The 25,609-nt window shown below is 37.2% G+C and overlaps 1 protein-coding gene across 11 annotated transcripts in view; it reads left to right on the top strand.

The window, feature by feature from the left end:
* Positions 1–25,609, top strand: part of CD163L1 (CD163 molecule like 1) — a 125,386-nt gene that overhangs the window by 42,864 nt on the left and 56,913 nt on the right. For 10 of the 11 annotated variants that reach the window (XR_931282.3, XR_007063068.1, XR_007063067.1 and 7 more), the window contains 4 exons: positions 2,706–3,026; positions 4,875–5,195; positions 21,992–22,312; positions 25,276–25,590. Coding sequence is in view for 8 of the 11 variants with exons in the window: in XM_011520616.2 (XP_011518918.1) it covers positions 2,706–3,026; positions 4,875–5,195; positions 21,992–22,312; positions 25,276–25,590 (1,278 nt within the window). In the remaining 3 variants the exon portion in view is untranslated. Of the gene's footprint in view, positions 1–2,705; positions 3,027–4,874; positions 5,196–21,991; positions 22,313–25,275; positions 25,591–25,609 lie in introns of those variants that run through there. The other variant, XM_011520621.4, reaches the window with a different exon arrangement.

Here is a 25,609-nt window from a genome sequence, read left to right as displayed (position 1 = left end):
TAACATTTATTGAATATTTATGGTGTGCCAGGCAGTGTTCTATTAGTTTATGTATATGGGTTCATGGAATCTTCATGGAATCCCAAGAAGGGGGTTACTATTCTATCTCTATTTTACAGTGAGGAAATAGAGGTACTGAGAGAAAGTAACTCACCCAGGTCACTCACCTATCAGAGCAGTAGTGAAGCTGGAGTTCAGATATGAACTGATTTAACTCCAAAGTCAATGTTCAAAAATCTTACTTCCTTGATAACAAATGACAGCTTTTTCCTAATTCTTTATTAGCAACTTATTTGTATTTGTTTATGTGTTAGCATTTCTGCTTCTTTGGCCATTTTTCTGCTGTGTGATGTCTTTGTCTTCATAATGTGTAAGAACTCTGTGTATTTTATAGAGTCCCTTTATAAAATACATAATCCCCCTCTTCTATTTCTAGAACCATCACATTTTAACTACTGTAGCTTTCTATAGGCTAATACCTACTGAGATATATATTGCCTAAGTATTCTTATTTTTCATAAAATTCCTTGCTACTTTTTCCTTTTTGTTCTTCTAAATATGAATTGACATTGGAATTGTTTTTAAGGTAATATTAAACCTATGAATTGGTTGGGCATGGTGGCACATGCCTGTTGTCCCAGCAACTCAGGAGGCTGAGGCAGGAATATCACTTGAGCCCAGGAGATAGAGACTGTAAGGTGCTATGATTGCACCTGTAAATAGCCACTCCACTCCAGCCTGGGCAACATAGCAAAACCCAGTCTATTAAAATACAATATAAATATAAATTGGTTTGATTTGTGCAGAAATTATATCATTATACTATCCAGTTATCCTATACTAGAACAGGATACACTACTTCATTTATATATTTGTTTGCATCAGGAATTAAAAGTTTTTCTTTGCTTTGTTTCTATGAATTTTTATTTAGTATATCTGGAAATGATACATATTATATATACATGCGTCATATATCTGTTCATACCCCCACACATTTAACCTACATTGAATACATTGGTTTCCATTATATTGTGGAAGCACTTGGTGACATACTCAAAACTTTATGTGTAAGGATGTCCGTAGCAGTGTAATTTGTGAAAATGAAAAATTAACCATAACATAGGTAACCAAGAATTGTGTCTTGATTAAATAACTTACAGAATCTCTATATCTCTATATGATGGTATCCTATGCAATCATTAAATGTTATGTTTTAAAATACACACACACACATACTAGGTTGAATAGAATGTAAGATTATTATATACACATGGAAGAGTTGTCATACTGGATAGCAAGTAAAGAAATTGAACACTTTTAGAATTTTTAAAGTGACCCATTATAAAATATTATACCTTTCCTATATCATAATAGTACCTACATAGTAAAATATTTCTTGACTGGGCACGGTGGCTGACGCCTGTAACCCTGGTACTTTGGGAGGCTGAAAGGAGGTCAGGGGTTCTAGACCAGCCTGGGCAACATGGTGAAACCCTGTCTATACTAAAAATACAAAAAATAGCTGGCTGTGGTGGTGTGAGCCTGTAATCCCAGCTACTCGGGAGGCTGAGGTGGGAGGATCACTTAAACCCTGAAGGCAGAGGTTGTAGTGAACCAAGATTGTGCCACAGCACTCTAGCCTGGGTGACAGAGCAAGACCCTGGACAGAAAAGAAAGAAAGGAAAGAAAAAGAAAGAAAGAAAGAGAGAGAGAGAAGGAAAGAAAGGAAAGAAAGAAAGCAAGAAAGAAAGAAAGAAAGAGAAAGAAAGAGAGGGAGGGAGGGAGGGAAAGGGAGGAAGAGGAAGAAGAAGGAAGGAAGGAAAGAAGGGAAAGGGAGGAAGAGGAAGAGGAAGAAGAAGAATGGGGGAGGGGAAGGAAGGAAGGAAAAGAAAGAAAGAAAAAGAAAGAAGTCAGAGAAAGAAAGAGAAAGAAGAGAGAATGAAAGAAGAGAGAATGAAAGAAGAGAGAGAAGAAAGAAAAGAAAGAAAGGAGAGAAAGAAAAGGAAAGAAGAAAAAGGAAGAAAGAGAGGAAAGAAGAGAGAGAAAGAAGAATGAGAGAAGACAGAGAAAGGAAGAAAAAAAGAGAAAGAAGAAAAGGAAAAGAAAAGAGGGAGGGCGGAAGGAAGGAAAGAAGGAAGGAAGGAAGAAAGGAAGGAAATAAAATTCTCAAATTTTCTCAATATTTCTCAAGTGCTTTGAACAGTGGAAAAATTAAGAATTAAAAAGGAATTTATTTTATGAAAGGGCAGTTTCATATACATATGCCTCCCTTTATCTTATAAAACATGAGTGGACAAACTAAAATGACGACTATGAGGGGATAAGCTTTGGTGCTAATGCTGGACTCCACTGCAGAAACCTGCCAGTGCTATCTCCTGAATGTATCCATACCTCAAAGAACTTCTCTGCATGCTTCCACGTTGCTCATCTTATCCAAATCCGTCATTCTTGGAGGCTTCATAACATTCCCCAGGCTTTACTTCAGTAAATTTGCTGTCGTCGTTTCATGCTTTAGAGACACCTTCTCTCCAAAAATTGAATAAAAAATTGTCAAAAGAAAGAAAACCAAACTTTTCATTCAAAAGTGTGCCTAATATATCACCTGTTAGGCAAAGCCTTATAGTCGTGAATTTAGAGAGTCTTTTCAGTCTTCTGAAAAGACTCTCTCATTTGATCTCAAATATGTGGTTTTGTCTTGCTTGCAGATAAGGCAGATCTGGACCTAAGGCTTGTCGGGGCTCATAGCCCCTGTTATGGGAGATTGGAGGTGAAATACCAAGGAGAGTGGGGGACTGTGTGTCATGACAGATGGAGCACAAGGAATGCAGCTGTTGTTTGTAAACAATTGGGATGTGGAAAGCCTTTGCATGTGTTTGGTATGACCTATTTTAAAGAAGCATCAGGACCTATTTGGCTGGATGACGTTTCTTGCATTGGAAATGAGTCAAATATCTGGGACTGTGAACACAGTGGATGGGGAAAGCATAATTGTGTACACAGAGAGGATGTGATTGTAACCTGCTCAGGTAAGACTTGTTCTTGTTTATTATTTCCTGATAAGAGAAATAGTATTCCTCATAGGAAGGGCTTCTGGGTCTATAAACTGGCTTACATGTGGGAATTGATTGAGGGGCCATGACTCTTGTCTTTAAATTAGACTTCAGTTCACTTCACCTGGAACTCTTCCACTTATACAGGTAAAGTAAGAAATTAGTAGACAACCCTGACTATGATCCTTTGGATCCCTTCCCCTACCATATACAGAAGCAGTTTGGCCTTTTAACTTCATTAAGTGTAGGCCACCTTTGGATACATGTTTCACCCAACCAGTCCAACAAACTATTAGAGCCTTTCTAACCCTTAGCTGCATCATTAAATCTAGAATCTCTGCTTAGGGCTCATATCAGTAAATTCACCCTGACCCAACTTTATGTTCCTTCCAGCATTATCTCACATCCTTAATATTCATTCCCACATATATTCTGATTTCTGTCTGTGTAAATTGGAAAAATCATGGTTGTTTGTGTGCACTTCCACATAAGACACTTTGTACCTCACATTTTGGAGCCTGCTGGGACTTGAGTCTAGATGTAAAGAGGGCTGATGGGATGGGTGCTGAGGAGAATCAGGAGTGCCTTTCAAGGCAGTTATCTCAGGAGAGATTCAATTTCTTCAAGCAAAGTAGGATTAATATTCTCACACAGAGGTGGATGGTTGTCTCTACTGTTAAAGGAGAAACAGTAGAATTTAGGGTTTCAATGTTCCCAACCTCATCAGGTCTTCCCCTATGGCCCCATCCTAATTTTCAGAATTCTATTCCATCCCAATTAAATCCCTCACTTAGACAGCAGACATCTTGTGAGGTTGAGAATTCAGTACCTTACCAGGTGAAGGTTTTCAGTAATCTCAGTTCTGTGGCTATAAGAGACACGAGTTTCTTTCCGGGAAGACATCAAAACTTGCAGGTCATATTGCAGTTCAGCTGGGAATTTGAATCTCTAAGCTCATCCTTTTCTTTTCCCACTTTGTCCAGTGCAATGGGGAGCAGCCAGCCAATCTAATTATGCTTGTAAGTTTGACAAAAATGTCCTAGGTTATCAAATATATGTTCACTCAGAACTTTGCCTACTGTAAGTATTTGATTAGGAATATGTAATGATGAGATTTTGTATATATCTATTGCCACATCATGCCATGGATTATCAGTGCCCTCTTTACTACTGGATACAGAATCATTAGTGTCATTAAATTTTTATCAGATTAGAGAACCAATTCTAGAATCAATTTATGAATTACAGCATCAATTCATAAAACTCATCCTTAAGATTTTGTTCCTCTAGAACCACTATTAGTACCAAAATCTGCGTTATTCAGGGTTCTCCAGGAAAACAAAACCAATAGAACGTGAGCCTCTCTTCTCTCTCTCTCTCTCTGTGTGTGTGTGCATATGTATGTATGTAGAGAGAGAGACAGAGATTTATTTTAAGGAATTGGTTCATCAATTTTATAAGCAATTATCGGGGCTTGCAAGTCCAAAATCTGAAGAGGAGGCCAGCAGACTGCAGAGAAGAGCTGATGTTGCAGTCTTGAATCTCAAGAAAGTGCGGAGGTAGAATTCCTTCTTTCTTGGGGGACTTCAGTCTTTTCTTTTAAGGTCTTCAACTGATTGGATGAGGCCCACCCACGTTATGGAGGATAATTGGCTGTACTCAAAGTCTGCTAATTTAAAGGTTAATCACATCTGAAAAAATACCTTCACAGCACCATCTAGACTGGTGTTTGACCAAATAACTGGGTATCATAGTCCAGCCAAGTTGACATATAAAATAAACCATCACACCCATTAACTACTTGCTTCATTGTTCTTGGTGCAGGTGATGCAACATGGGGCCTGAGGCTGGTGGGCGGCAGCAACCGCTGCTCGGGAAGACTGGAGGTGTACTTTCAAGGACGGTGGGGCACAGTGTGTGATGACGGCTGGAACAGTAAAGCTGCAGCTGTGGTGTGTAGCCAGCTGGACTGCCCATCTTCTATCATTGGCATGGGTCTGGGAAACGCTTCTACAGGATATGGAAAAATTTGGCTCGATGATGTTTCCTGTGATGGAGATGAGTCAGATCTCTGGTCATGCAGGAACAGTGGGTGGGGAAATAATGACTGCAGTCACAGTGAAGATGTTGGAGTGATCTGTTCTGGTAAGATACCCAAACCAGGGCTTCCTTAAAAGAAACTGCCTGGGTTCTCTAACATACCTTCTTTCTTCTTAGTCAGTACATTTATGACCGAGTGCTCATTGCTCACTTTTTTAGAGCTAACCATACCTCATATTCTCATTCATTTTTAATATCTTTCTATGGGATCAAAACTGTTTTCTCAAGAAATGAAACTTCATTTTCTGATATCTACCCAAATTTTCCCAAAGTTAGTTTCATCAAACCACTAGTCAATACAATTCTACAAAAAGACATTATCCATAGTCAAATAGTTTAGGAAAAAATAATGAGAATTCAGTTATTTATTTAAATAAATAAACCCTTGTGTTGAATCACCCAGTCTCTCAAAAATTGGTACCCAAGATGACTCAAATACTCATTGTTACCTGAAAGACTTATTTATGTAAGATAAATCCAATAGCATTAGAACAAATAAACTTCATCCAGAGGTCTGGGTTTATGGTTTATATAATTTTTTTTATTATTATACTTTAAGTTCTAGGGTACATGTGCACAACATGCAGGTTTGTTACATAGGTATACATGTGCCATGTTGGTTTGCTGCACCCATCAACTTGTCATTTACATTAGGTATTTCTCCTAATGCTATCCCTCCCCCAGTCCCCCACCAACCGACAGGCCCCAGTGGGTGATGTTCCCCGCCCTGTGTCCAAGTGTTCTCATTGTTCACTTCCCACCTATGAGTGAGAACATGGGGTGTTTGGTTTTCTGTCCTTGTGACAGTTTGCTCAGAATGATGGTTTCCAGCTTCATGCATGTCCCTGCAAAGGACATGAACTCATCCTTTTTTATGGCTGCATAGTATTCCATGGTGTATATGTGCCACATTTTCTTAATCCAGTCTATCACTGATGGACATCTGGGTTGGTTCCAAGTCTTTGCTATTGTGAATAGTGCCGCAATAAACATATGTGTACATGTATCTTTATAGCAGCATGATTTATAATCCTTTGGGTATATACCCAGTAATGGGATTGCTGGGTCAAATGGTATTTCTAGTTCTAGGTCCTTGAGGATTTGCCACACTGTCTTCCACAATGGTTGAACTAATTTACACTCCCACCAACAGTGTAAAAACGTTCCTATTTCTCCACATCCTCTCCAGCATCCACTGTTTCCTGACTTTTTAATGATTGCCATTCTAACTGGCGTGAGATGGTATCTCACTGTGGTTTTGATTTGCATTTCTCGGATGGCCAGTGATGATGAGCATTTTCTCATGTGTCTGTTGGATGCATAGATGTCTTCTTTTGAGAAGTGTCTGTTCATATCCTTTGCCTACTTTTTGATGGGGTTGTTTGTTTTTTTCTTGTAAATTTGTTTAAGTTCTTTGTAGATTCTGGATATTAGCCCTTTGTCAGATGGGTAGATTGTAAAAATTTTCTCCCATTCTGTAGGTTGCCTGTTGACTCTGATGATAGTTTCTTTTGCTGTGCAGAAGCTCTTTAGTTTAATTAGATCCCATTTGTCAATTTTGGCTTTTGTTGCCATTGCTTTTGGTGTTTTAGTCATGAAGTCCTTGCCCATGCTTATGTCCTGAATGGTATTGCCTAGGTTTTCTTCTAGGGTTTTTATGCTTTTAGGTCTAACATTGAAGTCTTTAATTCATCTTGAATTAATTTTTGTGTAAGGTGTAAGGAAGGGATCCAGTTTCAGCTTTCTACATATGGCTAGCCAGTTTTCCCAGCACCATTTATTAAATAGGGAATCCTTTCCCCATTTCTTGTTTTTGTCAGGTTTGTCAAAGATCAGATAGTTGTAGCTATGTGGCATTATTTCTGAGGGCTCTGTTCTGTTCCATTTGTCTATATCTGTTTTGGTACCGGTACCATGCTGTTTTGGTTACTATAGCCTTGTAGTATAGTTTGAAGTCAGGTAGCATGATGCCTCTAGCTTTGTTCTTTTTACTTAGGATTGTCTTGGCTATGTGATTTTTTTTTTGTTTTTTTGTTTTTGTTTTTTTTTGGTTCCATACGAACTTTAAAGTAGTTTTTTCCAATTCGGTGAAGAAAGTCATTGGTAGCTTGATGGGGAAGGCACTGAATCTATAAATTACCTTGGGCAGTATGGCCATTTTCACGATATTGATTCTTCCTATCCATGAGCATGGAATGTTCTTCCATTTGTTTGTGTCCTCTTTTATTTCGTTGAGCAGTGGTTTGTAGTTCTCCTTGAAGAAGTCCTTCACATCCCTTGTAAGTTGGATTCCTAGGTATTTTATTCTCTTTGTAGCAAATGTGAATGGGAGTTCACTCATGATTTGGCTCTGTTTGTCTGTTATTTGTGTATAGGAATGCTTGTGGTTTTTGAACATTGATTTTGTATCCTGAGACTTTGCTGAAGTTGCTTATCAGTTTAAGGAGATTTTGGGCTGAGACAATGGGGTTTTCTAACTATACAATCATGTCATCTGCAAACAGGGACGATTTGACTTCTCTTTTCCTAACTGAATACCCTTTATTTCTTTCTCTTGCCTGATTGCCCTGGCCAGAACTTCCAACACTATGTTGAATAGGAGTGGTAAGAGAGGGCATTCTTGTCTTGTGCCAGTTTTCAAAGGGAATTCTTCCAGCTTTTGCCCATTCAGTATGATATTGGCTGTGGGTTTGTCATAAATAGCTCTTATTATTTTGAGATACGTTCCATCAATACCTAGTTTATTGAGAGTTTTTAGCATGAAGCAGTGTTAAATTTTGTCTAAGGCCTTTTCTGCATCTATTGAGATAATCATGTGGTTTTTGTCATTCGTTCTGTTTATGTGATGGATTATGTTTGTTGATTTGCACACGTTGAACCAGCCTGGCATCCCAGGGATGAAGCCAACTTGACCGTGGTGGATAGGCTTTTTGATGTGCTGCTGGATTCGGTTTGCCAGTATTTTATTGAGGATTTTTGCATCGATGTTCATTAGGGTTATTGGTTTAAAATTCCCTTTTTTTGTTTTGTCTCTGCCAAGCTTTGGTATCAGGATGATGTTGGCCTCATAAAATGAGTTAGGGAGGATTCCTTTTTTTTCTGTTGATTAGATTAGTTTCGGAAAGAATGGTACCAACCCCTCTTTTTACCTCTGGTAGAATTCGGCTCTGAATCCATCTGGTCCTGGACTTTTTTTGGTTGGTAGGCTATTAATTATTGGCTCAATTTCAGAGCCAGTTATTGGTCTATTCAGAGATTCAACTTCTTCCTGGTTTATGTCTTGGGAGGGTGTATGTGTCCAGGAATTTATCCACTTCTTCTCGATTTTCTAGTTTATTTGCGTAGAGGTGTTTATAGTGTTCTCTGATGGTAGTTTGTATTTCTTTGGGATTGGTGGTGATATTCCCTTTGTCATTTTCTATTGCATCTATTTGATTCTTCTCTCCTTCTTTATTAGTTTTGGTAGCGGTCTATCAATTTTGTTGATCTTTTTGAAAAACCAGCTTCTGGATTCATTGATTTTTTGAAGGTTTTTTTGTGTCTCTATCTCCTTCAGTTCTGCTCTGATCTTGGTTATTTCTTGCCTTCTGCTAGCTTTTGAATTTGTTTGCTCTTGCTTCTCTAGTTCTTTTAACTGTGATATTAGGGTGTTGATTTTAGATCTTTCCTGCTTTCTCTTGTGGGCATTTAGTGCTATAAATTTCCCTCTACACACTGCTTTAAATGTGTCCCAGAGATTCTGGCATATTGTGTTTTTGTTCTCGTTGGTTTCAAAGAACATCTTTATTTCTGCCTTCATTTCGTTATTTATCCAGTAATCATTCAGGAGCAGGTTGTTCAGTTTCCATGTAGTTGTGTGGTTTTGTGTGAGTTTCTTAATTCTGAGTTCTAATTTGATTGCGCTGTGGTCTGAGAGACTGTTTGTTGTGATTTCTGTTCTTTTACATTTGCTGAGGAGTGCTTTACTTCCAATTATGTGGTCAATTTTAGAATAAGTGTGATCTAATGCTGAGAAGAATATATATTCTGTTGATTTGCTGTGGAGAGTTCTGCAGATGTCTATTAGGTCCTCTTGGTGCAGAGTTGAGTTCAAGTCCTGGATATCCTTGTTAACTTTCTGTCTTATTGATCTGTCTAATATTCACAGTGGGGTGTTAAAGTCTCCCATTAATATTGTGTGGGAGTGTAAGTCTCTTTGTAGGTCTCTAAGGACTTGCTTTTTGAATCTGAGTGCTCCTGTATTGGGTGCATATATATTTAGGATAGTTAGCTCTTCTTGTTGAATTGATCCCTTTACCATTATGTAATGGCCTTCTTTGTCTCTTTTGATCTTCGTTGGTTTAAAGTCTGTTTTATCAGAGACTAGGATTACAACCCCTGCTCTTTTTTGCATTCCAGTTGTTTGGTAGATCTTCCTCCATCCCTTTATTTTGAGCCTATGTGTGTCTCTGAAGGTGATGGGTCTCCTGAATACAGCACACTGACGGGTCTTGAGTCTTTATCCAAGTCTTCAATCACTGATATCCTTTCTTCCACTTGATTGAATTGGCTAATGAAGCTTGTGCATGTATCACAAAGTTCTCATGCCATGGTTTTCGGCTCCATCAGGTTATTTAAGGTCTTCTCTGCCCTGTTTATTCTAGTTAGCCATTCGTCTAACCTTTTTTCAAGGTTTTTAAGCTTTCTTGCCATGGGTTAGAACATGCCCCTTTAGCTCGGAGAAGTTTGTTATTACAGACCTTCTGAAGCCTACTTCTGTCAGCTCATCAAAGTCATTCTCTGTCCAGCTTTGTTCCATTGCTGGTGGGGAGGTGCGATCCTTTGGAGGAGAAGAGGCACTCTGGTTTTTAGAGTTTTCTACTTTGCTGCTCTGGTTTCTCCCCATCTTTGCAGTTTTATCTACCTTTGGTCTTCGATGTTGGTGACCTACAGATGAGGTTTTGGTGTGGTTATCCTTTTTGTTGATGTTGATACTATTCCTTTCTGTTTGTTAGTTTTCCTTCTAACAGTCAGGTCCCTCAGCTGCAGGCCTGTTGGAGTTTGCTGGAGGTCCACTCCAGACCCTGTTTGCCTGGGTATCAACAGCGGAGGCTCAGTTGGAAATGCAGAAGTTACCTGTCTTCTGCGTTGATCACACTGGGAGCTGAAGACCGGAGCTGTTTCTATTTGGCCATCCTTTATATAATTTTAAAGATGTCAAGAACTGCCTTGTAGATTCCTTCTCTAAGACCAAAGTTTTTATTAGACAACTTTAAAATGGTGCAAAGAAAAATTTGATATACAACCACCCATGTAGTACAATTTTAAAAGAGTTGGACTCCCTGACTCAGATACATCATTGGTCTTTGGGCTTCCTTGTTTTCAACATATTTATTCCTTAGTCTATACATTCTTTTCTAAGATGAATGAATAAGATATTAAATTATATTTTAAAGAATCATTAAGCTCTGATATAGACTTGAAATTTTCCTTTTAAATTTTCATAATTCTATTCTCCCTTTTAATGTAGGTAGACGTAGAGTTATCATTTACAAATTATCACAATCTTTCTTCAGAGAAGATCTTCCAATTTGAATTTTACCTGTTGTTTTCTGGAAGCTTGTTCTTCCAATGCACTATTCTCTTATTATTTTTACTGATCTATAATATGTGTACGTATTTATGGGGTACATGTGACATTTTAACTCAAGCATGGAATGCTGCATGAGTGTAAATGATCAACTCAGGGTATTTAGGATATCCTTCTCCTCAAATATTTCTCATTTCTTTGTGTTGATAACATTTCAAATCTTCTCTTCTAGCTATTTAAAAATATACAATATATTGTTTTTTAACTATAGTCACCCTACTGTGCTATTGAACACTAGAATTTATTCCTTCTGTTTAACTGTATGTTTGTACCTATTAACCTACCTGTCTTCATCCTGTCCGCCCACCACACGCACACCCTTCCCAGCCTCTGGTAACTATCATTTACTCTCTGTCTCCATGAGATGACTTTTTTAGCTCCCGTATATGAGTGAGAACTTGTGATATTTGTCTTTCCATGCCTGGCTTATTCTGCATAACATAATGTCATCCAAGCCATCCCTGTTGCTGCAAATAGTAAGATTTCATTCTTTTTTAGGACTGAATAGTATTCCATTGTGTGTGTGCATATATATATATATATATATATAAATATATATATATAAAATGTTTAATTATTCATTCATCCTTTGATGGACACTTAGGTTGATTTCATATCATGGCTATTGTGAATAGTGCTGCAACAAACAAGGGGGTACATTTATTCCTTTGTTTTTTAATTTTTTAAATTATTTTTAAAAATGTCTGTGGGTACATGCTAGGTATAGATATTTATGGAGTACACGAGACATTCTGATACAGGTGTGCAATGTGAAATAAGCACACTGAGGAGAATGGGGTTTCCATCCCCTCAAGCATTTATCCTTTGTGTTACAAGCAATCCAATTACATTCTTTAACTTATTTAAAAATATACAATTAAGTTATTATTGACTATAGTCACCCTATTGTGCTATCAATAGTAGGTATTATTCATTTTTTCTGTTTTTTTTAAACATTCACCATTGCCACCTTCTCTCCAGCCCCCCATTACCCTTCCCAGCCTCTGATAAACATCCTTCTACTCTCTATGTCCATGAGTTCAATTGTTTTGATTTTTAGATCCCAGAAATAAGTGAGAGCATGCGATGTTTGCCTTCCTGTACCTGGCTTGTTTCACTTAACATAATAGGCATATGAAAAAGTGCTCAACATCATTGATCATCAGAGAAGTGCAAATCAAAAATACAATGAGATATCATATTACCCCAGTTAAATGGTTTGTGTCCAAAAGACAGGCAATAACAAATGTTGGTGAGGATGTGGAGAAAAGGGAACCCTTGAACACTGTTGGTGAGAATGTAAATTAGTACAACCACTGTGGGGAACAGTTTGGAGGTTCCTCACAAAACTAAAAATTGGGCTACCATGTGATTCAGCAATCCTATTGCTGGGTATATACCCCCAAAAAGGAAATCAATGTATCAAAGAGATATCTGCACTCCTATGTTTGTTGCAGCACTGTTTACAATTGCTAAGATTTGGAAGCAATCTAAGTGTCCATCAACAGATGAATGGTTAAGGAAAATGTGGTACATATACACAAAGGAGTACTATTCAGACAAAAAAGAATGAGATTCAATGATTTGCAACAACATGGAGGTATTCCTTTGGTGTACTGATTTCCTTTCCTTTGGATAAATAGGATTTCTGGGTCATATGATTAAGTTCTATTTTTAGTTTTTTGAGAAATCTCCATATTGTTATCTTATTTTGATACATGTCTATTCCTATCCTTTGCCCCCCCCACTTTGTTTTTTTTTTTTTTTGAAACTGGATCTCACTCTGTTGTCCAGGCTGGGGTGGAGTGGCACAATCTCAGCTCACTGCAGCCTCGACCTCCAGGGCTCAAGCAATCCTCCCACCTCAGTCCCCCAAGTAGCTAGGACCACTGGCATGCGCCATCACACCCTGCCAATTTTTGTAGTTTTTTGTAGAGATGGGGTTTCACCGTGTTGCCCAGGCTGGTCTCAATCTCCCGGGCTCAAGTGATCTGCCCTCCTTGGCCTCCCAAAATGCTGGGATTATAGGCTTGAGCCACCATGTCCAGCCTGCCCACTTTGTAATGGGGTTATTTGTTTTGTTTTCCTGTCGAGTTATTCAAGTTTTAAAATATTCTGGATATTAGCACTCTGTTAGATGAAGAGTTTGTTTGCAAATACTTTCTCCTATTCAACAGGATGTCTTTTCACTCTGTTAATTGTTCCCTTTGCTGTGTAGAAGCTTTTTAGTTTGTCTAAAAGTTTGTCTCCTTTTCGTTTTGATGCCTGTGTTTTTGAAATGTTAGCTATAAAATATTTGCCCACCAATGTCTTGGAGTATTTTCCCAATGTTTTCTTCTAGTAGTTTTATAGGTTGATGTGTTACATTTAAGTATTTAATCCATTTTCCTTTGATTTTTATGTATGGTGAGAGAGGGGTATGGTTTCATTCTTCATGTGGATATCCAGTCTTCCCAGCATCATTTGTTGAAGAGGGATCCTTCTCTCAATGTATGTTCTTGGTGCCTTTGTCAAAAATCAGTCAGCTACAAATACATGGACTTATTTCTAGGTTCTCTATTCTGTTTAATTTGTCCATGTGTCTGTTTCATACCAATAGCAGGCTGTTTTGGTTACTGTAGCTTTGTAGTGTATTTTGAAGGTAGATAGTATGATGTGCCTCAAGATTTATTCTTCTTGCTTGGGGTTGCTGTGGTTATTCAGGTTCTGGGTAGTGTCTTAGTACATTTGCATTGCTATAAAGGAATACTCGAGGCTGGGTAATTTATAAAGAAAAGAGGTTTATTTGGCTCACAGTCTGAATACTGAACAAGCATGGCATCAGCCTCTGCCTCTGGTGAGGTCCTCAGGTAGCATGGCAAAAGGGGAAGGGGAGCCAGCATCACATGATGAGAGAAGAGGAGGTACCAGGCTCTTTTTAACAGCCAGATATCAAGAGAACTAATAGAGCAACAACTCACTCATTATCAAAAGGATGGCCCCAAGTCAATTATGAGCAATCCACCACCAGGAGGCAAACACTGCCCATTAGACCTCACCTCTGACATTGAGAATCAAATTTCAACATGAGATTTGGAGGGGCAAACATCCAAACTATATCATGTAGTATGATCATTTTAATAATATTAATTCTTCCAATCAAAAAGCACGAGATGTCTCTTCATTTCATTTGTTTGTGTCTTCCTTAATTGCATTCATCAATGTTTTGTAATTTTCATCATAGAAGTCTTTCACCTCCTTGGTTAAATGTATTCCTAGATATTTTATTTTATTCTTTCTTGTGGCTCTTGCAAATGAGATTGCCTTCTTGGTGTCTTTCTCAGTAGTTTGTTATTGGTGTATAGAAATGCTACTCACTTTTGTATGTTGATTTTGTATGCTGTAACTTTGCTGAATTTGTTTATTAGTTCTAAGAGATTTTTATGGAGTCTTAAGGTTTTTCTAAATATTCAATTATGTCATCTGCAAAGATGGACAATTTGACTTTCTCTTTTCTGATTTGGATGACTTTTATTTCTTTGTCTTGTCTGATTGCTCTGGCTAGGACTTCCAGTACTATGTTAAATAACAGTGGTGAAAGTGGGCATCCTTGTCTTTTTCCAGTTCTTATAGGTAAGACTTTAAACTTTTCCCCATTCATTATATTGTTAGTTGTAGGCTTGTCCTATATGGCCTTTCTCATGTTGAGGTATGTTCCTTCTATGCCTAGTTTGTTGAGAGTTTTTATTATGAAGGGATGTTGAATTTTATCAAATGCTTTTTCTACATTTATTGAGGTGATCATATGGTTTTTGTCATTCATTCTGTTGATATAATGTATCACTTTTATTGATTTGCATATGTTCAATCATCCTTGCATGCCTGGACTAAATCCCACTTGACTATACTGTTTTTTTTTTTTTTTTTGATATGTTGACGGATTTGGCTTGCTGGTATTTTGTTGAGGGTTTTTATATCTATGTTCATCAAGGATATTGGCCTGTATTTTTCTCTTTCTGTTGCTTCCTTTTCTGGTTTTGGTATCAGGGTAATACTGGCCTCCTAGGATGAGTTAGGAAGAATGCCCTCCTCTTTGATTTTTTTGGAATAGTTTGAAAAGAATTGATGTTAGATTTTCTTTATTAGTTTGATAGAAGTCAGCAGTAAAGCCATCTAGTCCTGGGGTTTCCTTTGTCTGGAGACTTTTCATTATTGATTTAATCTAATTACTCATGATTGATCTGTTCAGGATTCCTATTTCTTCCTTGATTAATCTTGGGCAGATCGTATGTGTACAGGAATTTATCCTTTCTTCTAGATTTACCAGTTTGTGAGTGTATCGTTGCTCATATTTGGCTCTTATAATCTTTTGTATTTCTGTGTTATCAGTTGTAATGTTTCTCTTTTTGTTTGTGATTTTTATTTGAATCTTCACTCTTCTTTTAGCAAAAGTTTGATCTTTTCAAAAAGTCAACTTTTTGTTTCATTGATTGTACTGGCTTTTAGGCTCTATTTTGTTTAATTCTGCTCTGATCTATATTACTTCTTTCTTCCTACACATTTTGGGTTTGGTTTGGTCTTGCTTTTCTAGTGTGTTGTGATACATCATTAGATTGTTTATTTGAAATCTTTCTACTTTTTTGCTTTTTTTATTATAAATGCCTTCTTAACTGTGCTATTGGTGTATCCCATAGGCTTTGGTATGTTGTGTTTCTATTTTCATTTGTTTCAAGAAATATTTTCATTTCCTTCTTAATTTTTTAATTAACTCAATGATCATTCAGGAACATGTTTAATTCCCATGTATTTTTACAGTTTCCAAAATTTATCTTGTCGTTGATTTCCAATTTTATTCCACTGTGGTCTGATAAGATACTTTATATAATTGTAATTTTTAAAAATTTGTTGAGACTTGTTTTGTGGCCTTGAATATGGTCTATTCTGGAAAACGTTTTATGTGCTGATTTAAAGAATGTATATTCTACAGCTGTTGAGTGAAACAGTCTGTAAATGTCCATTAGGTATATTTGGTCTAAAGTCTAGTTTCTATCTGATGTTTCTTTATTGGTTTTCTGTCTAGATGATATGTTCAATATTGAGATGAATAGTTGAAGTGCCAACTATTATTGTAATTGAGTCACTCTCTCCCTTCAGGTCTAATAATATTTGCTTTATATGTCTGAGTGCTTCATTGTTGGGTGTATATGTATTTAGAATTGTTATAGCCTCTTAATAAATTGATCAATTTATCTTTATATGATGATTGTCTTTTTTTTTTTTTACAGTTTTTAACTTAAAGTTCACTTTATCTGATATAAATATAGCTATTTCTACTTTTCTACTTGCTGTTGGTTTTCATTTACATGGAATATCTTTTTCCATCCCTTCACTTTCAGTCTATGTCTGTTTTCACAGTTGAAGTCAGTTTCTTCTAGGAAGCATATATTTGGGTCATTGTTTTTTTTAATCCATTCAGCCAATCTATATCTTTTAAGTGGACAATTTAATTCATTTACATTCAAGGTTATTGTTGATAGGTGAGGACTTATTTCTGTCATTATATTCACTGTTTTTTGTTGTTTTATATATCCTTTATTTTCTTCTCTCATTATTTATTATTGCTGTTTTGTGGTTTTCTATGGTGGTAACATTTGGGTCCTTTTTTTCTCATTTGTCTGCTTAGTTTTATACTTTCATGTGCTTTCATGATGATATACACTTCCAGATATAGATTTCCTTAAGTGTTTCTTGTATGACCAATCTAGTGGTGATGAATTTCCTCATTTTTTGCTTATCTGGGAAAGACCTTATATCTCCTTCATTTTTGAAGGGTAACTTTGCTGGGTATTATATTTTAGGCTGGCATTTTTTTCTTTTAGCACTTTGAATACACCATACCTTTCTTTCCTGGCCTGTAAGATTTCTGCTGGGAAATCCCCATTCATCTGATCTGGGTTTCCTTGCACACATGAGTGGCCATCTTTTTCTTGTATTTAAAATTATTTTTTTATCTTGGGCTTTTCACAGTTTGAGTATAATGTGCCTTGGAGAATACATTTTGTGGGAGGAGGTGTATCAATTTGGAGATCTTTCAGCTTCTTGTATCTGGATATCTAAGTATCTTTTAAAACCTGGAAAGTTTCAGCTATTATTTTATTAAATAAGTTTTCTATGCCATTGTCCATCTCTTCTCCTTCTGGAACACCCAGAATCCAAGTATTTGGTCACCTTATGGTGTCCCATGTGTTGCAAAGGTTTTTTAATTGAAAAAAAATTTCTTTCTTTTTCTTTTACTAGGTTATTTCAAAGATTTATCTTCAAGTTCTGCAGTTCTTTCTTCTGCTTTATTTGATTTTTTTTATGTTTTTCATTGAATTATTTCATTCCATGATTTCTGTTTGTTTCTTTTTTATGATATTTCTTTGTTGAATTTCTCATTAACATCCTAAATTGTTTTTCTAATTTATTTGTATTATTTATCTGTGTTTTTTTGTGTGTTTCACTGAAATTCTTTAATAACATTATTTAAAATTATTTTCAGGCAGTTCATCCATTTTCTTTTTGCTGAAATGTGGTGCTGGAGAAATTATTGTGTTCCTTTGAAGGTGTCATGTTTCCTTGCCTTTTTATGTTTCTTGTGTCCTTACATTGATATCTGTGCATCTGGTATAAAATCGTTGCTTTCATATTTTGGGGTTGGCTTTCATAGAGGAAAACTTTTTGTTGTAGATATAGCTATAGTGTTGGTTGGGTAGGGCAGTTTATCTTTGATCCTGGGTGCATGCTATAGTGTAATCTCCATGATTTCTTCAGTGATAATCAGTGTGAAGAGTGTCTGGGATTTCCTCTTTGGCTTAGACTGTGGCTATTAGTTAAGGCTGTTGTGAAGCTTTGCTAGGAATAAGGACACCAGACAAGCCAGTCCTTGAGCCTCAGTGGTGGTGGTAGCAGCAGGCTGACCATGACTGTCCATGGGACCCTAGGTGGCATATGCAAGCACCAATGTGAGTTGATCTAGGTGGGTCAATTCTTGGGCTTCCAGGTGGCTTGCTTATCTACCAGCAGTGGCAGCATTGAGTTAGGCAGGTGGGAAAGTTCTCAGGCCCCTAGGTAACATGACTGGTGTCACCAATAGCAGTAGTGGTGTCAGGCCAACTGTCAGGTTCCCAGCCGGTATACACTGGTGCTAGCAGTGCTGGGCAGGCAATTCTCCAGGCCCCCAGGTGGCACATGTAGGTGGGTGCTGGAGGTAGTGGTGGCACCCAGCAGTGCAGGTCTGTCCTCAAGGCTACTGATGTTGCACACAGGGACAGACTATGGTGAGTGGAATAGGGCAATTTCCAGACCTTTGGGTGGCATGCTTAGGTGGTAGCAGGTGGGGCAAACCTCCATGTAGGTCCTTGTATGGCATCCTGGCAAGCCATTTTCAGGCTCACTGAAGGCTCATGAAAGTGCACAGTGTCCCTGCTGCTGCGAGGAAGTGGGGTTGCTATCAGTGATAGTGACCCCAGACAGGTGGCTCTCAGGCTCTGGGGAGATGCTTCAGCTCTCTTTATCATGGGGGAACACTCCTCTGTGAACTACCCATTTCCCAGTACATCAGACACTGTGTGGAATAGATGGCTGGGGACCTAGACACACTGCCAGTCCAGCCAGCATGGCACCACTGCAGCCCTCCAGATGGATAAGGGAGGTTATCAGTGGGGCTCTAGACATGTAGAGATGTAGGGCTTACTGGGGCCCAGGACAGGATGCAATCTTGTGGGAGCTGGACTCTCAAAATGGTGCCATGCTGGAGTTACCTGGGTCTTGGGGTTGGGGATTGGGATGTAGGACCCAGCACAAACTCCCCCTCTGGAACAACGCTATTGTGCAAACTCTAGGCAGCTCCCTGTACTAGTCTCAGAGCCCACAGAAGCTGAGGGGCTCTCCCATGGCTAGGATTGCAAGGGCCCACAGTGGGAATGTGGACTGCTAGGAATCTCTCATTTATTCTTTTTCTACAGTGGGGATCCATACCAGGCTTCCAGTCAATCCTAGCCAGACAATTGCTTCACTTCTTTCTCTCTCTGTGCCTCAGAAGGATCTGTTCCCTATCACTTCCCTGCTGGATTCCAGTGTTCTATCTTAGACACTATTCGTTGTGAAATTATCTACTTGCTGTTTTGATCGTTTTTGGTGGTGAGTGTTGGGTGCCTCTAGTAGCCGTCTTGAAGCCTCCCCCTTGAGCTATTCTCTTTTAAGGGAAAGTTCTTCTCTCCATAATCATGAATATCAATGTGTCTTTCAATAAGAGAGTTGAGGATTCCTGAACACGGGACCCAACTCCAATCCATAGAAACTACCCACACCTTTCTTCTCTGTCCTTGTATCTGTATTGTAAACTACAGACTTTCTTATTGGTAATAATTGTTTTACATATTGAGAATTATATATATATCTCTATGTGTGTATATATATATTTAAAATAATTATATATATAAAACAATTATATATAAACAATTCTATATAAAACCATTATATATAAATATATAATTATGTATATAAAACAATTACATATAAATATATATTTTTTTAATTCAGAAAAACCTAAAAGTCAATATGATGTCACCTTTTTATGCTGAATCACCTACAGCAACTGTTTTTCCACCTAAGACTCTCTCTCAGAGTGGAATATGTTGCTACAAAGCAGTGAAATATGTTTTTCCCTTATATTTAGAGTAGTTCATTTAATGAAGAAAGTTCATCTGTTTCTAGACACCTTTTCAGGGAATCTCAATTTTGATAGAGATTCCTACAAGATATATATGTTTATTCTCCCCACCCTCCCCACCACCACACACAAAATTATAGCTCTCTAAACGTCAGTATCTAAAATAAACCCCATTTAAAAAAATTTCTTTTTACTTTTATGGTAAAGTTGCTAAGACTGATCTACCACCCTCACATGATTATTGTTTTGAAACTCCTGCCAATTACAAACAGATCTTGACTCATGTTTCACAAACCCTGTCACTGAGCTCCAAAGACACAGAGTAACAAATAGGCTTAAAATGGAAATACATTACAACTCTATTTTTCTGCTGAATGGGAGTTTTATTTAGAGAATCATCTCATATCTACACAAGATTATATCAAAATAACCAATGTAGTAAAATTTCATTCAGCTGTTTTATAAGTGGCAGGAAGTGGGACTGAAGTGATAGGAAAGGACAGACTTTCCAGGTCCTCTAGACCACGTTAATTATATTTTTCTTCTTCTCAAGGCCAATAGGAAGTAACTTGGTCAGGTTTGATCTGGTCAAAGTCAGAGTTGATTTTCTGACATGTCAGATCTGTCAACATTAGGCAGTTAATAAACCTATTAATATAATTTAGTATATAAAGTAGAAAAATAGTATGATATCACATAGACATTTAATAATGTGAATTTTTATTTTTAACTAAAACAATAGAAAAGAAGCTGATACCATTTATAGTTTTTAATTAGATAAAGAAGTATTACATTGTTATATAATTAGATATATTCTCAAATTAGTAGGCAATATTATTTGTGTTTCACAGACTATGCCACAGCACACTCAAAGCTACCAAACTGCCCTAAAAAGATAAAGTAACCTTTCTAGAATGAGATTCATTTCATTTTATGTCAATACTGCTAAAAATTTCCTTCAAAAGCTGACTCTTTCAATTAGGCTCAGAATTAATTTCTGATTTAATTCTTCGTTTCCTCTTTTTTAAAAAGTTTTTTATTTCCATAGGTTTTTAGGGAACAGATGGTAATAGTTACATGAGTAAGTTCTTTAGTTTTGATTTGTGAGATTTTGATGCACTCATCACCCAAGCAGTATACACTGAACCCAATTTGTAGTCTTTTCTTCCTCAAACCCCTCGTACCCTTTCCCCTGAGTCCTCAAAGTCCATTGTATTATTCTTATGTCTTTGCATCGTCATAGCTTAGCCCCCCACTTATGAGTGAGAACATACAATATTTGGTTTTCCATTCCTGAGTTACTTCACTTAGAATAATAGTCTTCAATTCCATCCATGTTGCTGTGAATGCCATTAATTCATTCCTCTTTATGGCTGAGTAGTATTCCATCATGTGTATATATATACACACATACATGTGTGTATACGCATATACACACATACATGTATGTATACGCGTATACACACATACATGTATGTATACGTGTATACATACATATATGTATGTATATGTGTATACACACACACACACACACACACACACACCACAGTTTCTTTATCCACTTGTTGATTGATGGGCATTTGGGCTGGTTCCATATTTTTGCAATTGCGATTTATGCTGCTATAAACATGCGTGTGCAAGTATCTTTTTCAGATAATGACTTATTTTCCTCTGGGTAGATACCTAGTAGTGGGATTGCTGGATCAAATGGTAGCTCTGCTTTTAGTTCTTTAAAGAATCTCCACTGTTTTTCATAGCGGTTGTACTAGTTACATTCCCACCAGCAGTGTAGAAGTGTTCCCTTTCCACTGCATCCATGAAAACTCTATTCTTTTTTGATTTTTTGGTTATGGCCATTCTTGCAGGAGTAAAGTGGCATTGCATTGTGGTTTTGATTTGCATTTTCCTGATCATTAGTGATGATGAGCATTTTTCATTAAAAAAAAAAAAACTTACCTACTCCTCTTCTCACATACAGTGAATTTTGTGTTTTCTTTTCCCGAGCTCCAATTTCTTTTTAGAATTACTTCATTTGGCATCACTAATAGGCAAGTTTCTCCATTTTTCTGGATTTGGTAATATCACAGCCCTATGCAGTTTTTCCTTGACTTTTCATTAAATTATATCACCTCTTCCTAACATTCTCTTTAGTATCTAACATGTAATATGTAATTCTTCAAATATTCAGGCAAGAATTAGGGCCATTAAGTAACACTATTTTTTATCCTAAGTCTCTGATAAGATTTTGTAAGTAAAACTATATCCTTGCTTTGTAAGCCAGAAATGTTCATGGATTGAAACATACCTTGGTGTACTTTTGTTATTTTATTTTTTATCCAATAAAAAGGAAAATTAAGTTTGAAGGAAAGTAAAAAATAAAATTAAACACTGGTGAAGCCGGGACCTAAACAATCTCTCAACTTTTGGCCACTGGTCTATGTTAGTGTACAGGAATGGATAAGAATCTTTAATGTCTCACATAGAGTGCTTCTCTAAAATCATTGTGGTATTTGGTTTCAGATGCATCGGATATGGAGCTGAGGCTTGTGGGTGGAAGCAGCAGGTGTGCTGGAAAAGTTGAGGTGAATGTCCAGGGTGCCGTGGGAATTCTGTGTGCTAATGGCTGGGGAATGAACATTGCTGAAGTTGTTTGCAGGCAACTTGAATGTGGGTCTGCAATCAGGGTCTCCAGAGAGCCTCATTTCACAGAAAGAACATTACACATCTTAATGTCGAATTCTGGCTGCACTGGAGGGGAAGCCTCTCTCTGGGATTGTATACGATGGGAGTGGAAACAGACTGCGTGTCATTTAAATATGGAAGCAAGTTTGATCTGCTCAGGTAATTTCTGGACAAAGATAAACACATTTATTTAATTATTTATTTTTGCACTTATTTAATACGTGTTTATGAAGTGGCTATTTAACAGTATTAGGTCAAAAGTAAATGAACTAGATAAAAGTAATCCTACCCTCTATCTAGAAGACAGGTATATAATAAAAATATATAATTAAATAACTGTTTATTTAAAATTGCGTGAAGTAGAAGCACAAGATGAAATGAGAAGGCATAATTAGAAGATATTACCTATTTGCAGAGTCGGAGAATATTTCTGTGAAGTGATAGTTAAGGAAAGATGTGAAGGACAGGTAAGATTTAATCATATGAAGAAGTGTTGGGAAGATTAATTTAAACAGTAGTATTTTATTCGAGTAACACACCTGGGAATAAGCTTGTGTTATTCCAGGAACTAAAAGATGGTTGAAAGAAGAGGTATTAGATCCAAGTGAAGAAGGGGGAAAACTTATAATAAAGTCTTGATATGTAGGCAAGGGAAAGGTTATTTATGGAGTAGGAATTGTGAACTTTATTCTAAAGTGAATGATAAATCATTGAAGGTTGTAAGCATGATACAACTTGCATTTCAAAGACAGCACTCTGGCTGCAGTGTGGGGTGTGTGTGTGTGTTTATGTGTGTGTCTGTGTGTGCATTGGAGAGAGGAGGCTATTGGATGCCGGGAGTCATGCTGTTGAATAATTCTAGGGAAGATACGGAATTTTGATTAGGATGCTCACTGTGGAGCTGGTGAAAAGCTTCCAAATTTCAGAAATATTTAGTAGCTGAAACCAGCAGAACTGAATACACTGAATGTGGAAATAAAGATAAAGGTTTCTAGACTAAGCAGATGGGTGCACTGCAGTGTCATCATCTGGAAAGATAATCTTGGAAGAGGAGCAGTTTAGAGAGGGTGGGATGATGAGTCCAATTTTGTATGTGTGAAATATGAGGTAATAGTAAAGCAGTCATCAAATGAAGAGGGTTGGAGGAAATTGGATATGAGATTTAGATGATCAGAAGACTTGTATTGAATGGAGATATAACTATTAGAGTCCTACATATGTAGACGGAAACTAAATCTAGGAATAAAATGTAAATTGAGAATTTTTAAAGCCTAGATTCAAGAAAGAGGAGCTCTTAGCCCTGAGGAACAATAGTATTTAATAGTTTATTGACATAAAAGAAGTTGGAAAAGCATACTGAGGAACAGTGGTGGCAGAATGTCACATCGCTAAAGCCAAGGGAAGATGTTTCAAAAAGATGGGGACATCAATTCCAAAAAAGCCCTAAGAGGCCAATATAGATGAAACTGAACAATTTCCACTAAGCTTAGCTACAGAGAAGTCATGAATAAATTTAATAAAAGTAGTTATGTCACATTAGAAAAAGGAGATCATTTCAAGTTGAGAAGGAAATGGGAGGTAAAGATGTTGGGATAATAGGCATAGACTATTTCCAAAAAGCTGTATTTTAAGGGGAAGAAATAAATAAGGTGATGACTAAAAAGGAATATAATCTTCAGGGGAGTTACTCAATTTTTTTTATTGATAGGAGATTCTAGAGTAGTGCTGTTCAAAAGAACATCACTTTCTGTGATGAAGTAAAATATATGCTATTAGCTGATGTTAGAGGCTATAGGAAAAAATAGAACTAGAAAATAGAATCCAGAGTGTTTATGGGACAGAATGAAATTCCAAATAAAATGACTGGGGTAGGCCTTACTGAAAAGGTGAAACATAGACAAAGACTCGAAGGTCATGGGAGAGTCAGTTATATGCATATACGCAGAAGGAAAATACAAATAGAGATACAGCCAGTTCAAAAGCCTTGGGGCAAGATTATGCCTGATATGTTTGAAGAAGAGAAAGGAATCCAATGCAGCTGAAGAGCAGTAAGTAAAACATCAGGACCTGGCACCAAAAGGGGTAAATGAGCAGGGGAAGGTCACTCAGGGACAAGCAGGTCTTCGTAGGAGTTTAGATTTTTACTCTGAGTGAAATATGGAGTCATGGGAGGATTTGGGGCAGAATACTGATTTAACCTGATACATCATTTTAAATAACCTCTCTGGATTTTTATTTTTTTAAAAGATGAACTATAGAGGAATAATTATAGAAACAGGGAATCTGTAGGAATCTATTATAGTAACTCAGGCAAGTAATGATGGTGGCTCAATCAAGGCGCTAGGGTTGAAGGGGTGAGAAGTTTTGGGATTATGGGCATACTTTGAAAATACAGAAAACAAAACTTTCTGAAAGGCGAGATATAGTATGTAATGGAAGTCAAGAATTATTTCAAAATATTTGAATGTCTGGAATGATGGAGTTCCATCAATAGAAATATGGAAGTCTGCAGCCTTAGATAGATGTTTGAAAGGACTCCAAAGAATTCACATTGAGATATCTATAAGAAATCCAAATGGAAATGCTAAGTAGAAATTGGATAAATGAGTCAGGAGTTTGGAAAAATGCCTGGGTTGGAGACAGATAACATACATTACTAATATAAGTAGCTTTGCTGCAAAGAATAGAGTCAGAATAATGGGCAGTATTTTTTTGTTGTTTATAAATTACTCATTTAGATGGATTGCTGGGATCTAACCAGTAAGTAGAAGTCTTTCTATTCTTATATTACACCATCTTCTTAAGATGACTACAAATCTTCACGTGTTGTTTAATGCTGAGGTTACTTAGTATTTTTTTAATGTAAACAAATTGTGCAATTCATTTCCTTCTGATGAGTTCTAAATCTAGGATTGGTGGGTCACCAAGACATAGAAAATAGGTATGTAATCCAGATCTGTGAATTTAAGTCTGTACTGCTAATCTTGTCCTCTGAGCCCCTACGAATGGGATGTTCTAATGATGAATGGAGAAAAATTGCTCTGGGGTTAGATATGGAGACTGGAGACAGGGATAGATATTGGAAAACCCTAAAAACTAACCTTTGAAATATTATTTTATAGCCCACAGGCAGCCCAGGCTGGTTGGAGCTGATATGCCCTGCTCTGGACGTGTTGAAGTGAAACATGCAGACACATGGCGCTCTGTCTGTGATTCTGATTTCTCTCTTCATGCTGCCAATGTGCTGTGCAGAGAATTAAACTGTGGAGATGCCATATCTCTTTCTGTGGGAGATCACTTTGGAAAAGGGAATGGTCTAACTTGGGCCGAAAAGTTCCAGTGTGAAGGGAGTGAAACTCACCTTGCATTATGCCCCATTGTTCAACATCCGGAAGACACTTGTATCCACAGCAGAGAAGTTGGAGTTGTCTGTTCCCGTGAGATTTTTAAATAATC

The sequence above is a fragment of the Homo sapiens genome, chromosome 12 (assembly GCF_000001405.40).
Source record: "Homo sapiens chromosome 12, GRCh38.p14 Primary Assembly".
NCBI lineage: Eukaryota > Metazoa > Chordata > Mammalia > Primates > Hominidae > Homo > Homo sapiens.
Note: the sequence above shows the minus strand (reverse complement) of the source record. Positions and strands in the feature narration are given on the sequence as shown.